We start from the raw sequence: 19,149 nt of genomic DNA, 5'->3' as shown, positions 1-19,149 counted from the left end.
ACCAAATGGGCCTAATAGATATCTACAGAACTCACCACCCAAAACCAACAAAATATACATTCTTCTCATCTGCATGTGGCTTATACTCTAAAATTGACCACAGAATTGTCCATAAAGTGATCATCAGCAAAATTAAAAAATCATACCAAACACACTCTCAGACCACAGGGCAATAAAAATAGAAATCAACACTAAGAAAATTGGTCGGCCGGGCACGGTGGCTCAAGCCTGTAATCCCAGCACTTTGGGAGGCCAAGGCGGGTGGATCACAAGATCAGGAGATCGAGACCATCCTTGCTAACATGGTGAAACCCCGTCTCTACTAAAAAATACAAAAAAAAATTAGCCGGGCGTGGTGGCAGGCTCCTGTAGTCCCAACTACTCGGGAGGCTGAGATGGGAGAATGGCGTGAACCCGGGAGGCAGAGCTTGCAGTGAGCCAAGATCGCGCCACTGCACTCCAGCCTGGGCGACAGAGCAAGACTCGGTCTCAAAAAAAAAAAAAAAAAAAGAAAAGAAAATTGGTCAAAACTATATAATTACATGTAAGTTAAACAACCTGTTCTTGATTGACTTTGGATAAACAATGAAATTAAGGTAAAAATAAAGAAACCCTGTAAAACTAAAGAGAACAAAAACACAACATATCTGACTCTCAGGGACACAGCTAAAGCCATGTTAAGAGAAAAGTTTATAGTGCTAAACACACAGCGAAACATTAGAAAGATCTCATATTAAAAACATAACATCATACCTACAGGAACTAGAAAAACAAGAGCAAACAAATCCCAAAGCTAGCAGGAGAAAAGAAATAACCAAATCGGAGCTGAACCGAAGGGAATTGAGATGCAAAAAAAACATACAAGATGATCAAATTCGGGAGTTTGCTCTTTGGAAGAAAAAATCAGATTGATAGAAGACTAGTTAGACTAATAAAGCAAATAAGAGCGTTCTTCAAACAAACACAATGAGAAATACAAAGAGAACACTACCACTGACCCCACAGAAATATAGAAACCTCTCAGAGACTACTATGAACACCTCAATATACACAAACTAAAAAACCTAGAAGAAATGGATGAGTTCCTGGAAACATACAACCTCCCAAGATGGAAGCAGGAAGAAATTGAATTCCTCAATAGACCAATAATGGGTTCCAAAATTGAATCAATAATAAAAAGCCCACCAACCAGAAAAAGCACTGGACCAGACAGATTCATAGCTGAATTCTACCAGATGTACAAAGAAGAGTTGGTACCATTCCTACTGAAACTATTCCAAAAAATTGAGGAGGAGAGAATCCTCTCTAACTCATTCTATGAGGCCAGCATCATCATCCTGATACCAAAATCTGACAAAGACACAACGAAACAAGAAAACTTCAGGCCAATTTTTTTTTTTTTTTTTTTTTTTTTTTTTTTTGAGACGGAGTTTCATTCTTGTTGCCCAAGCTGGAGTGCAATGGCACAATCTCAGCTCACTGCAACCTCCCCTCCTGGGTTCATGACTCTCCCAAGTAGCTGGGATTACAGGCATGCACTACCACACCCAGCTAATTTTATACTTTTAGTAGAGACGAGATTTCTCCATGTTGGTCAGGCTGGTCTCGAACTCCCGACCTCAGGTGATCCACCTGTCCCGGCCTCCCAAAGTGCAGGGATTATAGGCATGAGCCACCGCACCCAGCCCCAATATTCTTGATGAATGTAGATGCAAAAGTCCTCAACAAAATACTAGCAAACCAAATGCAGCAGCCCATCAAAAAGCTAATCCACCACAGTCAAGTAGGCTTTATCCCCGGGATGCAAGGTTGCTTCAACATGCACAAATCAATAAATGTGATTTATCACATAAACAGAACTAAAGGCAAAAACACATTATCATCTTAATAGATGCAGAAAAAGCTTTCAACAAAACCCTCAACAAACTAGGCATTAAAGGAACATACTTCAAAGTAATAAGAGTCATCTATGACAAATCCACAACCAACATTTTACTGAATGGGAAAAAGCTGGAAGCATTCCCATTGAAAACTGAAATGAGACAAGGATGCTCACTCTCATCACTCTTATTCAATGCAGTACTGGAAGTGGTACCCAGAACAACCACGTAAAAGAAAGAAAAGGCCCATGCCTATGTCCTGAATGGTATTGCCTAGGTTTTCTTCTAGGGTTTTTATGGTTTTAGATCTAACATGTAAGTCTTTAACCCATCTTGAATTAATTTTTGTATAAGGTGTAAGGAAGGGATCCAGTTTCAGCTTTCTACATATGACTATCCAGTTTTCCCAGCACTATTTATTAAATAGGGAATCCTTTCCCCATTTCTTATTTTTGTCAGGTTTGTCAAAGATCAGATAGTTGAAGATATGCGGCATTATTTCTGGGGGCTCTGTTCTGTTCCATTGGTCTATATCTCTGTTTTGGTACCAGTACCATGCTGTTTTGGTTCCTGTAGTCTTGTAGTATAGTTTGAAGTCAGGTAGTGTGATGCCTCCAGCTTTGTTCTTTTGGCTTAGGATTGACTTGGTGATGTGGACTCTTTTTTGGTTCCATAGGAACTTTAAAGTAGTTTTTTCCAATTCTGTGAAGAAAGTCATTGGTAGCTTGATGGGGATGGCATTGAATCTATAAATTACCTTGGGCAGTATGGCCATTTTCACGATATTGATTCTTCCTACCCATGAGCATGGAATGTTCTTCCATTTGTTTGTATCCTCCTTTATTTCATTGAGCAGTGGTTTGTAGTTCTCCTTGAAGAGGTCCTTCACATCCCTTGTAAGTTGGATTCCTAGGTATTTTATTCCCTTTGAAGCAATTGCGAATGGGAGTTCACTCATGATTTGGCTCTCTGTTTGTCTGTTATTGGTGTATAAGAATGCTTGTGATTTTTGTACATTGATTTTGTATCCTGAGACTGCTGAAGTTGCTTATCAGCTTGAGGAGATTTTGAGCTGAGACGATGGGGTTTTCTAGATATACAATCATGTCATCTGCAAACAGGGACAATTTGACTTCCTCTTTTCCTAATTGAATACCCTTTATTTCCTTCTCCTGCCTGATTACCCTGGCCAGAACTTCCAACACTATGTTGAATAGGAGTGGTGAGAGAGGACATCCCTGTCTTGTGCCAGTTTTCAAAGGGAATGCTTCCAGTTTTTGCCCATTCAGTATGATATTGGCTGTGGGTTCGTCATACATAGCTCTTATTATTTTGAGATACGTCCCATCAATACCTAATTTATTGAGAGTTTTTAGCATGAAGGGTTGTTGAATTTTGTCAAAGGCCTTTTCTGCATCTATTGAGATAATTATGTGGTTTTCGTCTTTGGTTCTGTTTATATGCTGGATTACATTTATTGATTTGTGTATGTTGAACCAGCCTTGCATCCCAGGGGTGAAGCCCACTTGATCATGGTGGATAAGCTTTTTGATGTGCTGCTGGATTCTGTTTGCCAGTATTTTATTGAGGATTTTTGCATCAATGTTCATCAAGGATATTGGTCTAAAATTCCTTTTTTGGTTGTGTCTCTGCCAGGCTTTGGTATCAGGATGATGCTGGCCTCATAAAAGGAGTTAGGGAGGATTCCCTCTTTTTCTATTGATTGGAATAGTTTCAGAAGGAATGGTACCAGCTCCTCCTTGTACCTCTGGTAGAATTCAGCTGTGAATCCATCTGGTCCTGGACTTTTTTTGGTCGGTAAGCTATTGATCATTGCCTCAATTTCAGAGCCTGTTATTGGTCTATTCAGAGATTCAACTTCTTCCTGGTTTAGTCTTGGGAGGATGTGTCAAGGAACTTATCCATTTCTTCTAGATTTTCTAGTTTATTTGCATAGAGGTGTTTATAGTATTCTCTGATGGTAGTTTGTATTTCTGTGGGATCGGTGGTGCTATCCCCTTGATCATTTTTTATTGCGTCTATTTGATTCTTCTCTCTTTTCTTCTTTATTAGTCTTGCTAGTGGTCTATCAATTTTATTGATCTTTTCAAAAAACCAGCTCCTGGATTCATTAATTTTTTGAAGGGTTTTTTGTGTCTCTATTTCCTTCAGTTCTGCTCTGATGGTAGTTATTTCTTGCCTTCTGCTAGCTTTTGAATGTGTTTGCTCTTGCTTTTCTAGTTCTTTTAATTGTGATGTTAGGGTGTCAATTTTAGATCGTTCCTGCTTTCTGTTGTGGGCATTTAGTGCTATAAATTTCCCTCTACACACTGCTTTGAATGTGTCCCAGAGATTCTGGTATGTTGTGTCTTTGTTCTCATTGGTTTCAAAGAACATCTTTATTTCTGCCTTCATTTCGTTATGTACCCAGTAATCACTCAGGAGCAGGTTGTTCAGTTTCCATGTAGTTGAGCGGTTTTGAGTGAGTTTCTTAATCCTGAGTTCTAGTTTGATTGCACTGTGGTCTGAGAGACAGTTTGTTATAATTTCTGTTCTTTTACATTTGCTGAGGAGTGCTTTACTTCCAACTATGTGGTCAATTTTGGAGTAGGTGTGGTGTGGTGCTGAAAAGAATATATATTCTGTTGATTTGGGGTGGAGAGTTCTGTAGATGTCTATTAGGTCTGCTTGGTGCAGAGCTGAGTTCAGTTCCTGGGTATCCTTGTTAACTTTCTGTCTCGCTGATCTGTCTAATGTTGACAGTGGGGTGTTAAAGTCTCCCATTATTATTGTGTGGGAGTCTAAATCTCTTTGTAGGTCACTAAGGACTATAGGCATGGGCAAGGACTTCATGTCTAAAACACCAAAAGCAATGGCAACAGAAGCCAAAATTGACAAATGGGATCTAATTAAACTAAAGAGCTTCTGCACAGCAAAAGAAACTACCATCAGAGTGAACAGGCAACCTACAGAATGGGAGAAAATTTTTGCAACCTGCTCGTCTGACAAAGGGCTAATATCCAGAATCTACAATGAACTCAAACAAATTTACAAGAAAAAAACAAACAACCCCATCAAAAAGTGGGCGAAGGATATGAACAGACACTTCTCAAAAGAAGACATTTATGCAGCCAAAAGACACATGAAAAAAATGCTCATCATCACTGACCATCAGAGAAATGCAAATGAAAACCACAAGGAGATACCATCTCACACCAGTTAGAATGGTGATCATTAAAAAGTCAGGAAACAACAGGTGCTGGAGAGGATGTGGAGAAATAGGAACACTTTTACACTGTTGGTGGGACTGTAAACTAGTTCAACCATTGTGGAAGTCAGTGTGGCGATTCCTCAGGGATCTAGAACTAGAAATACCATTTGACCCAGCCATCCCATTACTGGGTATATACCCAAAGGATTATAAATCATGCCGCTATAAAGACACATGCACACGTATGTTTATTGCAGCACTATTCACAATAGCAAAGACTTGGAACCAACCCAAATGTCCAACAGTGATAGACTGGATTAAGAAAATGTGGCACATATACACCATGGAATACTATGCAGCCATAAAAAAGGATGAGTTCATGTCCTTTGTAGGGACATGGATGAAACTGGAAACCATCATTCTCAGCAAACTATCGCAAGGACAAAAAACCAAACACCACATGTTCTCATTCATAGGTGGGAACTGAACAATGAGAACACATGGACACGGGAAGGGGAACATCACACACCGGGGACTGTTGTGGGGTCGGGGGAGCGGGGAGGGATAGCATTAGGAGATAAACCTAATGCTAAATGATGAGTTAATGGGTGCAGCACACCAACATGACACATGTACACATATGTAACAAACCTGCACATTGTGCACATGTACCCTAAAACTTAAAGTATAGTAATAATAAAATTTAAAAAAAAAGAAAAAAAAAGGAGAAGATAATGGTTCAGAAGAAAAGCACAAGAATTTGGGGGGAAGGGAAGAGTGGCAATGAAAACGTATGCCTGTTGAAGTGTTTTTTTAAACCACTTCCAGAAATAACTGGCAAAATAAAGCCTCTAAATGTTTAAGCCAAATTAAAAAAAAAAAAGAAAGAAAGAAAGAAAGAAAGAAAAGGCATCCAAACAGGAAGACAGGAAGTCAAACTATCTCTGTTTGCAGTCAAAATGATTCTACATGTAAAAAACCCCATAGTCTCTGCCCAAAAGTTCTTTGGTCTCATAAACAACTTCTGCAAAGTTTGAGGATACAAAACCAATGTACAAAAATCAGTAGTACTTCTATACACCAACAATGACCAAGGTAAGAGCCAAATCAAGAAAACAGCCCCATTCACAATAGCCACAAAAAGAATAAAATACCTAAGAGTACAGCTAACCAGGGAGTTGAAAGATCTCTACAATGAGAATTACAAAATACTGCTAAAAGAAATCAGAGATTACACTAACAAATGGAAAAACATTCCATGCTCAAGGATAGGGAGAATCAGTATCATTAAAATGGCCATACTGTCTATAGCAAAAATGTTATACCTATCAAACTACCAATGACATTCTTCACAGAACTAGAAAAATACATATATTTTAAAATTCATATGGAACCAAAAAAAGAGCCTGAATACCCAAGGCAATCCTAAGCAAAAAGAACCAGGCTGAAGGCATTATGTTACCTAGCTTCAAACTACACTACAAAATATAGTAACGAAAACCATATGGTACTGGTACAAAAACAGACACGTAGCCCAGAGGGACAAAACAGAGAGCCCAGAAATAATGTTGCACACCTACAATCATCTGATCTTTGACAAAGTTGACAAAAAGAAGCAATGGGGAAAGGACTCCATATTCAATAAACAGTGCTTGGATAACAGGCTAACCATATGCAGAAGATTGAAATGGGCCCCTTTCTTACACCATAAGATGTATCAATTCTAGATGGAGTAAAGACTTAGACATAAAACACAAAACTATAAAAACCCTGGAAGATAACCTAGGAAATACTAGTCTGAGCATAGACCCTGGCAAAGATTTCATGATGAAGATGCCAAAACCAATTGCAATGAAAACAAAAATTGACAAACGGGACCTAATTAAACTTAAGAGCTTCTTCACAGCAAAAGAAACAATCAACAGAGTAAACAGACAACCTATAGAATGACAGAAAATATTTGAAAACTATGCATTTGACAAAGGTCTAATGTCCAGCATCTGTAAGGAACTTAAACAAATTTAAAAGAAAAAACAAACAACCATATTAAAAAGTGAGCAAAGGATGTAAGCAGACACTTTTCAAAAGAGGACATAAATGTGGCCAACTAGCATATGAAAAAGAGTCCAATATCACTTACAGAAATACAAATCAAAACCACAATGAGATACTGTCTCACATCAGTCAGAATGGCTATTACTAAAAAGTAAAAAATAACAGACGCTGGCAAGGTGGCAGAGAAAAAGGAATGCTTACACACTGTTGGTAGGAGTGTAAATTAGTTCGACTATTGTGGAAAGCAGTGTGGTGAGTCCTCAAAGAGCTAAAACCAGAAATACCATTTGACCCAGCAATCCCATTGCTGGGTATATACCCAAAGGAATATAAATCATTCTATCATAAAGACACATGCACGCGTATGTTCATCGCAGCACTATTCACAATAGCGAAGATATGGAATCAACCTAAATGCCCATCAATGGTAGGCTGGATAAAGAAAATGTGGTACCTATACACCATAGAGTACTGCACAGCCATAAAAATGAATGAGATCATGTCCTTTGCTGGAACATGGATGGAGCTGGAGGTCACTGTCCTTAGCAAACTAATGCAGAAACAGAAAAACAAATGCTGCATGTTCTCATTTATAAGTGGGAGCTAAATGATTAGAACATATGGACACTAAGAGTGTAACAAAAGATACTGGAGCCTATTTAAGAGTGAAGGGTAGTAGGAGGGAGAAGAACAACAGCAACAAAAAATAACTATTGAGTACTAGGCTGAGAACCTGAGTGATAAAATAATCTGTACCCTGTAACATGAGTTTACCTATATAAAAAAACCTGCATATGTACCTGTGAACCTAAAATAAATGGTAAAAAAAAAAAAACTACAAGTGTTTTATGTAAGCTTCATGGTAATCACAAAGAAAAAACCTGTAATAGATACAGAAAAGATAAAGAAAAAAGAATAAATGCATAACACTACAAAAAAAATTATCAAATCACAAAGGAAGACAGTAAAAGATTAAGAAAGGGACTACAAAAGTCAGAAAACAATTAACAAAATGACAATAGTAAGTCCTTACCTACCAATAAGTACTTTAAATGTAAAAGTACTTTTAATTGGCTGAATGGATTGAAGAAAAATATTCAACTATATGTTGCCTACAAGAGACTTACTTTAACTTCAAGGGGACACAAACATAGACTGAAAGTGAGAGATGAAAGAGATATTACATGCAAATGGTAACCCAAAAAGAGTAGGTGTGGCTATATTTTTATCAGACAAAATAGACTTTAAGTCAAATACTGCTGCAAGAGACACACAAATACTGCTACAAGAGACACAGAAGAGTATTATGTAACAATAAAGGCATCATTTCATCAAGTGAATATAATAACTGTAAACACATATGCACCCAACACCACAACACTCAAATATATTAAACAAACATTATCAGAACTGAAGGGAGAAATAGGCAGCAATACAATAACAGTGTAAACAGAGGAATTTCAATACCTCACTTTCAACATTGGATATATTATCCATACCAAAAAAAAAAATCAATAAAGAAATAGCAGACATGACCAACACTATAGACCAACTGAATCTAATAGACATATACAGAACATTCTTTGCAAGGGCACATTGAACATTCTCCAGGATAGGTTACATATTAGGCCACAAAACAAGTCTTAACAAATTTAAGAAGATTGAAATCACATCAAAGGTGCCAATAATAAACAATGAAAAAAGATAGTTTCCTCAATGAATGGTGTTGGGAAACGATATACATATATATATGCAAAAGAATAAAATCAAACTCTTATATTACACCATACACTAAACTGACACAGAAGAGAGGTCTCAGAGGTTCTTCATTCAGGGCTACTATGGGACATTTGTGGGTATCAGTTAAAGGGACACTTCTGGGAGGATTATAGGCATGCTATGTTTTAATATGCAAGGCACAGGCTGGACATCAGCCCCCATTCACTGACGAGGCAGGGTGTTATTTTAGGGTGAACAATTTATGCAGCTGTAAGTAGAAATCCAGCTCTTATGCCACAAGGCATGGCCTGAGTCCAACCATGCTTAAAATTATGTACATTTATTAATTTAATTTCCCCATATCCATTTCATTTTGCAAATTGTACCTTCCTCCTACACTCCATGTGTATCTGTAGTGCTTTTCAATCAAGGGGCCCATGCCTTGGACAAAAAGGAGGTTGTAGGACTCAAGATGGACAAAGTACCTGATCCCTTAATTACAATAATTGGCCAAGGAATAGGCATCTGGTCCCAAAAGTGCCAATAAGTTTCTTTCCTGCAGTGAGATAATTTTCTGCTGATGAGATGCCTGAGCTGTGGTTTTTGTCTAAAGCAGCAGATCACAACTTGATATACAGGAAGCCTACAAAGTTTTTCAAAAGCTTAGGCTAAATGGGTCAAAGACAGTTCAAAATGAAAAAGAGATCTCAAAAAGAAATCAAGCTGAGAATGCTACTCAGATGCAAGCACAAGCCATTTCTTAATGAAAAAGTAAGTGTGACTCAGAAGTTTGACCCACAACTCTGAAGGAAGACCCAAGAGCCACAGGGAACCACTCTAAAGGAGCAAGAATGAGTGAGTATTCCCTCTTCCCAGAGTAAGTAGAAATGGTGACATGTGCCCAGCTTGATTTCAAAACTGCTATAGACCAATAACAGCTACTTGCCTCCTTTCTTACCCCTTTTAAACAGGATTGTCCAGTGTGGTTATCCTACCTCTGTCCCATCTTTATATGCAATGTATATGGCTGTCAGACAACTTGCCACTTTTATTTACAGGGCCCTTTTCCTAAGAAACCACACCAAAGAATCCCAGACACCCTGGGATAAAGAAAGAACTTGTTTTACATAAACAGTATTTGTTGATAAAACTTTTAACATTATTTTGCTATATACATACACATATACTCTCATTCTTTATAACTAATTTTTCTCATGATTGCAAAATAGTTAAATTAGAAAAATGCAAATTGCTTTATTTTCTCCCTTATTAATATAGGTTCTCTTCCTATAATAAATAGAGATGTTAAGATAATCTCTCTAAACATAGCTTATTTGTTCCTTGCAATTATAACTACAGGAAAAATTATTAGAATTATGATTACTGGAGGGAAAAAAATCTACAATTCTGTGGTTCATTATTTATTGCCAAGTCACTTTTGAAAAAGAGTGAAGGGATTTACAGTGCCTCCAGAAAAAGGGAATATTGCCAGTGTCTCCAACATCTTGTCAATATTGAATTCCTCATTTTTGTTTATATCATTCTTAGTTTGGTTTTTTTACCAATTTTTAAATTTTAGATTAATATTTGTAAGTTGTTTTATGGAATCTTTCTCTACTACCATAACCATTGTCCATTTTTCCATTAACTTAATGCTTTCCTTAATATTTTTCTCCATAAATATTTTTATATTAGGTCTTAATCATTTATTACATATATTTGCCATTTTGTTTCTTTTACTTTCGTTGCACAGAAGCCTTACCTGTGCACCTAAAGGAAAAAAGATTCTCACTCACATTAGGATAAGCATATCACTTCTAATTTTTTATGAATTTTCTTTAAATACTTAACACTTATCTAATTACAGACGACTTATTAAAAAGGGGTTAGCATAAATATTAACTAACCTAATTCTCACTGGATCATTCTTTCAACTGTGTTAGAGAAGCATTCTCCAATTTTTGCCCTGTGGATAAGTTCCTAGCTTCAGGACAACTGTATGTAATAGCGAAATGGAAAAGAGAAAGAGAATATTCATGTTACATCATCTCACTGTATTCCTTATGTATCTTTTTATTCCTTATGTATCTTTTGTTCATACACATTTTTCCATCTTTTATTCCTTCTGTACATAATTCTGGGTAATTGTTTCTGACTTACCTTATAATTTACTAATTTCCTCTTCAGCTATAATTAATTTGTTACTAAATCCATCGATTAAGTTCTTAATTTCGGTTATTTTTTTATTTCTAGATTTTCTATTTTGTTCTTTTTAAATATTTTTCAGCTTTCTGTCAAAGTTCTTGAATTGTCTTTTACTTATTTAGCATAATTACCATAGTTTTAAATATGTATATTAAATATGTACATCCATTATATGAATCCCCTGTGAGCCCAGTGATATTGTCTATTGCTTCTCTTGTTTCTCACTCACATTGTCTTGCCTTCTGTGCGTCTACCAGTTATTTGTGATTAAGTGCAAAACATTGTATATGTACAAAACTGCAAAAATTATTTAAGACTTAAAATAATTTTATCTTCCCCCAAAGAAAATTTTACATTTGCCATAGACATAAGGCTATGGACAATAGCAATACCTAATCACATTAATTTATCAGAAATTGAGATTATTAAAACCTGGGCTTCATTCTCTACGAGAACTGTTCCACTTCTGGTTGGACCTTAGTCTTCCTGTGTAGCTCTTTAGGCTCTAACTCAAAGCTTCCGGGGGCATCCCCCTCAGTGGATCTGGACTGCAATTTGTGTCCCACCACCCTCACAAGAGAGTCCATTCTCTGTTTAGCCTCTCAGCTGTCCCTTCTGGAATCCACTGATGCTTTCAGGGAAAAAATATTTCCCAATGTTGCAATGTTGGGTTCAGCTCTTTGAATTTCCTTTTCCTGAATCTTGGTCCCATAATTCCTTTACTGCCTCATTAGCTCTCCATTGCTATCCAGCATACTTTCTTTTCCTTTTTTTTTTTTTTTTTTTAGACAGAGTCTCACTCCATTACTCAGGCTGGAGTGCAGTGGCGTGATCTGGGCTCACTGCAACCTCCACGTCTTGGGTTCAGCCGATTCTCATGCCTCTGTCTCCTGAGTAGCTGGAAATACAGGCATGCACCACCATACCCAGCTAATTTTTGTATTTTTAGTAGACATGGGGTTTCGCCATGTTGGCCAGGCTGGTCTGGAACTCTTGACCTCAAGTGATCTGCCTGCCTTAGCCTCCCAAAGTGCTGAGATTAACAAGTGTGAGCAACCAGGCCCAGCCAAGCATACTTTCTTTTCACTCTGTCTAGTTTTCTAGTTATTCTCAAAAAAATAAACTATCTGGTATTACTGAAAGGGGTACCAATAAACTTTTCCTCATTATCTTGATTTATTTATTTAATAAAGTTTAATTTCATGTTGGATTTTCTCTTAATTTTAGTGCTGCAATCTTTTGTTCCCCTTCTATTGCCAGGATTAATATTATGTATGAAAGTAAGGCCTTTTCTACCTTGAGCTATGTTTTTCTCAAGATTCTCTATGTTTCCTGTCTCATTAGTAATAGGTTTCATAAGCTTTGTGAGTTTAAATTGTAAGTTCTCATTGTTTTGGGCGGAGGGGGAGGCAAGAGGGCCTGAGCTCTTGTTTTTGTAGTCTTTTTCAGCTACAAATTTTTCATTGATTGGCACACACATTTTTAGCATGGATAAAGAAACTGTGGTGTATATATATATACACAATGGAATACTACTCAACCATAAAAAGGAACAAATTAACAGCATTCATAGCAACCTGGATAGATTGGAGACTATTAATCTAAGTGAAGTAACTCGGGAATGGAAAACTAAACATCATACATTCTCACTCACAAGTGAGAGCTAAGTTATGAGGATGCAAAGGTGTAAGAATAACACAGTGAACTTTGGGGACTCAGGAGGAAAGGGTGGAAAGCGGGTGAGGAATAAAAGACTACAAATTGGGTTCAGTGTATACGTTCGGGTGATGGGTGCACCAAAATCTCACAAATCACCACTAAAGAACTTACTCATGTAACCAAATGTCACCTGTTCCCCAAAAACCTGTGGAAATAAAAAAAATTGATAAATAATTAAAAATAAATAAATAGGAAAATCTAGAAGAAATTTATAAATTCCTAGATACTTACAACCTACCATGATTAAACCATGAAGAAACCCAAAACCTGAACAGACCAATAACGAGTAATGAGATTGAAGCAATTCATAATAAAAGGTCTCTCAGCAAAGAAAAGACCTGGGCCCGATGGCTTCACTACTGAATTTTACCAAACATTTAAAGAAGAATTAACATCGGAGTAGGGCAGAGGATTGGTGAGGGACAGGGAGGGGAGAAAAAAAAAAGAAGAATTAACTTCAATCCTACTCAAACTATTCCAAAAAATAAAGAAGGAAGGAATACTTCCAAGCTCATGCCACAAGGCCAGTATTACCCCGATACCAACACCAGACAATTACACATTTAAAAGGAAAACTATAGGTCAATATCCCTGATATTGATGTGAAAATCGTCAACAAAATACTAATTCAACAACACATTCAAAAGACCATTCATCATGAACAAGTGTGATTTACTCCAGAGATTCAAGGATAGTTCAACATATAGAAATCAATCAATGGGATATATCATATCAACAGATTGAAAGACAAAAACCATGTGATTACTTTCAACTGATGTTGAAAAAGCATTTGATAAAATTCAACATCCCGTCATGATAAAACCCTCAAATAACTGGATATAGAAGGAACATATCTCAACATAATAAAAGCCATATATGACAGACCCACAGCTATTATCATATTGAATGGGGAAAGACTGAAAGCCTTTTCTCTAAGATCTGGAACATGACAAGGATGCCCACTTTCACCTCTGTTATTCGACATAGCACTGGAGGTATCAGACAAGAGAAATAAATAAAGATCATCCAAATTGAACGGAAGAAGTCAAATTACCCTTGTTTGCAGATGATATGACCTTATATTTGGAAAAACCTAAAGACTCAACCAAAAAACTATTAAATAAATTCAATAAAGTTACAGGAAACAAAATCAACATACCAAAATCGGTAGCATTTCTATATGCCAATAGTGAAATCTGAAAAAGAAATCAAGAAAGTAATCCCATTTACAATAGCCACAAATAAAATTAAATACTTAGGAATTAACCAAAGAAATGAAAGATCTCTATAATGAAAACTATAAAACACTGATGCAAGAAATTGAAGAGGACATCAAAAAATGTAAAGATATTCCATCTTCATAGATTGGAAGAATCAATATTGTTAAAAAGTCCACACTACCCAAGCAATCTACAGACTCAATGCAATCTCTATCAAAATACCAATGACGTTCTTCACAGAAAAAGAAAAAAACAATCCCAAATTTCAACGTGGGAAACATGGTAAAACCTCCTTTCTACTAAAAAAAAATTACAAAAATTAGCTGGGTATGGTGGCACAGGCCTGTAGTCCCAGCTATTTGGAAGGCTGAGGTGGGAGGATCACCTGAGCCCAGGAGGCAGAGGTTGCAGTGAGCCGAGATCATGCCACTGCACTCCAGCCTGGGTGACAGAGTGAGTCCCAGTCTCAAAAAGAGGGAAAAAAAGGTAAAACAATCCTAAAATTTATATGGAACCACAAAAAAAAAAAGACCAACAAAAACAAACAAAAAAAAACAGAAAATTTTAAGCAAAAAGAATAAAACTGGAAGAATCACATTACCTGACTTCTATAGAGCTATAGTAACCAAAACAGCATTGTACTGGCATAAAAACAGACAGACACATAGACCAGTAGGACAGAACAGCGAACCCCAAAACAAATCCGTACGTCTACAGTGAACTCATTTTTGACAAAGTGCCAAGAACAAACACTGGGGAAGTGGCAGTCTCCTCAATAAATGGTGCAGGGAAAACTGGATTTTTATACCCAAAAGAATGAAATTAGGCCCCTATCTTTCTCCATATACAAAAATCAAATCAAAGTGGATTAAAGACTGAAATCTAAGATCTCAAACTATGAAACTACTAAAAGAAAATATTTTAAATACTATTATGTATAATAATAATAACAATAAAGAGAGAGAGAACATTGGGAAACTCTCCAGGACATCAGTCTGGGCAAAGATTTCTTGAATAATACCTCATAAGTACAGGAAACCAAAGCAGAAATGGGCATATGGGATCACATCAAGTTAGAAAGCTTCTGCACAGCAAAGGAAACAATCAACAAAAAGTGAAGAGACAACCCACAGAATAGAAGAAAATATTTTCAACTACTCACGTGACAAGGGATCAATATCCAGAATATATAAGGAGCTCTAACAACTCTATAAGAAAAAATCTAATAATCCGATTAAAAATTGGCAAAATATCAGAATCAACATTTCTCAAAAGACATACAAAAGGCATACAGATACATGAAAAAGTGCTCAACATCATTATCACCAGATAATGCAAATCAAAACTACGATGAGATATCATCTCACTCCAGTTAAAATGGCTTTTATCCAAAAGACAGGCAATCGCAAATGCTGGCAAAGATGTGGAGAAAAGAGAACCCTTGTACACAGGTGGTGGGAAGGTAAATTAGTATAATCACTGGGGAGAACAGTTCGGAGGCTCCTCAAAAAACTAAAAATAGAGCTACCATATGATCCAGCAATCCCACTGCTAGTTTTCTATCCAAAGGAAAGGAAATTCCAGTCGGGCGCAGTGGCTCATGCCTCTAATCCCACCACTGTAGGAGACCAAGGCAGGAGAATCGCTTGAGCTCGGGAGTTCAATACCAGTCTGAGCAACATGCCAAAACCTCATCTCTACAAAAAATATAAAAATTAGCTGGGCATGGTGCTGCGCACCTATAATCCCATCTACTTGGGAGGCTGAGGCAGGAGGATTGCATGAGCCCATAAGGTTGAGGCCTGAGTGAACCATGATCACACCACTGCACTCCAGGAGCCTAGGCAGTGGAGCAAGATGCTGTCTCAAAAAAAAAGCAAATCAGTATATCAAAGAGAGATCTGCATTTGCATGTTTACTGCAGCACTATTCACAAGATTTGGAAACAACCAAAGTGTCTGTGAACAGATGAATGGATAAAGAAAATATGGTACTTATACACAATGGTGTACTATTCTGCCATAAAATAAGAACAAGATACTGTCATTTGCAACAGTGTGGATGGAACTGGAGGTCATTATGTTAAGTGAAATAAGCCAGATACAGAAAGACAAACTTTGCCTTCTCACTTATTTGTGGAAGCTAAAAATTAAAACAATTAAACTCATGGAGATACAGAGTAGAACAGGGTAAATGATGGTTACCAGAGGCTAGGAAGGGTAGTGGGGGAGACTGGGGAGGAAGTGGGAATGGTTAGTAGGTACAAAAAAATAGAAAGAATGAATAAGATCTAGTATTTATTATAGCACAACAGGGTGACTGTAGTCAATAATTTAACTGTACATTTAAAAATAACTAAAGCGTATAATTGGATTGTTTATAACACAAACAAGAAATGTATTGAAGTGATAGATACCTCATTTACATAATCATAATAATGTGATCATTATGCATTGTATGCCTTTATCAAACTATCTCATGTACCCCATACATATGTACCTACTATGTATTCACAAAAATTTAAATTTAAAAAATTTTTAAAAGGCCAGGTGCAGTGGCTCACACCTGTAATCCTAACACTTTGGGAGGCTGAGGCAGGAGCACTGCTTGAGCCCAAGAGTTTGAGACCAGCCTGGGCGACATAGCAAGATCCTGGGTTTTTTCGTTTGTTTTTTGTTTTGGGGTTTTTTTCAAGACGTAATCTTGCTCTGTCACCCAGGCTGGAGTGCAGTGGCATGATCTTGGCTCACTGCAACCTCTGCCTCTCGGGTTTAAGCAATTATCCTGACTCAGCCTCCAGAGTAGCTGGGATTACAGGCATACGCCACCACGCCCAGCTAATTTTTTTTTTTTTTTTTTTTTTTTTTTTGGTATTTTTAGTGGAAACAGGATTTCACCATGTTGGCCAGGCTGGTCTCAAACTCCTGACCTCGTGACCCGCCCGCTTTGGCCTCCCAAAGTGCTGGGATTACAGGTGTGAGCCACCGTGCCCAGCCAGCAAGACCCTGTTTCTACAAAAAATTTAAAAATTAGCCAGGCATGGTGGCACCTGCCTGTAAGTGCCAGCTACTTGGGACTGCAGTGAGCTGCAGTCATGCCACTACACTCCAGTGAGGTCAAGGCTGCAATGAGCTGCAGTCGTGCCACTGCATTTCAGCCTGGGTGACAGAGCAAGACCCTGTCTCAAAAACAAAAAACAAAAAAAAATTTTTTTAATCAAAGGTTATGGCTCAGGCTTCCTGACATAAGTAAAGGAGGACACAGCTAAATTAGAAGGCTTTCATTTTTGCCAAGGTGTTTGGGGTGAAGCAAAGAAACACAGACAGACTTGCCATTCACTGCCCAATAAAACAAACCAAGGAAAGACCACAAAAGGAAATGCTCCCTCCTCAGGCTATGGCAAATGTCAATCATGTCAGCCCTTGGGAATTTAGAATTGGGACCCGCGTGAGGGAAAAGGAGAAAATCTTAAGGAGCCATGTCTGCACTGGTATTATTGTGAACTGAAACTGACATAGCAATTGCAAGATTGGACTGAGGAAAAGAAAAGGATGAGATTGATTAGATCAAGCTGCCTAACATTAGACAGGCTGAGAGTTTAGTCTGGTCAGAAATCAGCCATTACATATTTTAACTATTTTTAAGTGTCATTAAAAACACCAACTTTGAACACATTGCAGACCACCAACGTGTTAATTTCCATGCCAGCTTCTTCATGTTTTTGCAGACCTTGACATATAGCTGCTTTAGCCATCTCTGGCATATATATAATGTATTGAGTAGGTAATAATTCTGCACAAGGCTTTTTCTTTTCTTTTTTTTAAATTCAGACTTGCACATGGCCTCTCCCATAAAATTATACAGGGGAATAGACTTACCATAGCACACATTAATCAAATTCATCAAATGCCAGACGAGGCTGAAGTGCTTCTGCTCAGCAGTTGCTCTTGTCAGAAAGCCAAAGAAGGCTGTACAGCAATAAGCACACAAGTAACACATGTCATGGTAATTATTCGAGATTAAGGCTTATTGTAAGTTTTGGACACTTTTTGTTTAGATTTTTACATTTTTTTTTTCTAGTGAGATAAAGTAATCACCTGTAAAAGCAGAAATGAATCATTGGTGTAAAAATTAAACTTGGCTGGGCACGGTGGCTCACGCCTGTAATCTCAGCACTTTGGGAGGCCGAGGTGGGCAGATCACCTGAGGTCGGGAGTTTGAGACCAGCCTGGTCAATATGGTGAAACCCCGTCTCTACTTAAAATACAAAATTAGCTGGGCGTGGTGGCGGGTGTCTTTAATCCCAGCTACTCAGGAAGCTGAGGCAGAAGAATCGCTTGAACCCGGGAAGCGGAGGTTGCGGTGAGCCAAGATCGCGCCATTGCACACCAGCCTGGGCAACAAGAGTGAAACTCCATCTCAAAAAAAGAAAGAAAAGAAAAAGAAAATTAAACTTAATGAGGAAATATGATGATAAATAAAACAAGACTGCACCTCCTGATGAAAAATGCCAATCTGGCATTGTTACTCAATTACTGGCCAACCACACCGCTCTAACACAGCATATGATAAGAGAGCAAGTGCCTCTAAGTTTCACAGAAAATCTTTTGAAGGTAAGAAAGTACAGTGGGAATGATCTGTCACCCAGTTTCATTTTTAGTGTGACTAAAACTGCTCAACTTGTATTTCATGCAGTGAAATCTTACACAACAGTTCCAGAGTCCTCCCAAATTACATGATTTTCAAACAAAACACAGTAAGTTCAAAAGTAAGTAACTCAGATGTTCCTGCCTAATTGAACTACTTAGAGTTATCGAAAAAATTTTATATGAACAAAATTTAAATGTGAAAATGAAAGCTCTTTATTCTATCAAAAAGAGCTTATTAAGGTCTGGGCTATGTTAAATAAACAGGCATTTACAAAAACATAATTAGTCTCATTTTCTGATAAAGTCCAAGCCCTATTGGCATTTAAGGTGGGACAGGTGCAAGTCACCCAGCATCCTTGGTGCCAGAAAACTAAGCCCCAGTTGCACTTTTAGGTATTAAGACAACCAAAATTGCCCCCACATATCTGCAAATATCCTTGAGAGACCATACCATACTGGCTGGTATCACTGATCTAATCCAAAAATACACA

The 19,149-nt window shown here is 37.5% G+C and overlaps 1 long non-coding RNA gene across 1 annotated transcript in view; it reads right to left on the bottom strand.

Annotated features, from left to right (window-relative positions):
• Positions 1 to 18,236, bottom strand: part of LOC101928387 (uncharacterized) — a 120,046-nt gene extending 101,810 nt beyond the window's left edge. The window contains exons 1-3 of the long non-coding RNA XR_007063236.1: positions 17,888 to 18,236; positions 12,901 to 12,934; positions 10,773 to 10,860 (exon numbers count right to left, since the gene is read on the bottom strand). This is a non-coding gene — a long non-coding RNA (uncharacterized LOC101928387). The remainder of the gene's footprint in view (positions 1 to 10,772; positions 10,861 to 12,900; positions 12,935 to 17,887) is intronic.
• Positions 18,237 to 19,149: the final 913 nt, after the last annotated feature.

The sequence above is a fragment of the Homo sapiens genome, chromosome 12 (genome assembly GCF_000001405.40).
Source record: "Homo sapiens chromosome 12, GRCh38.p14 Primary Assembly".
Lineage (NCBI taxonomy): Eukaryota > Metazoa > Chordata > Mammalia > Primates > Hominidae > Homo > Homo sapiens.
Note: the sequence above shows the minus strand (reverse complement) of the source record. Positions and strands in the feature narration are given on the sequence as shown.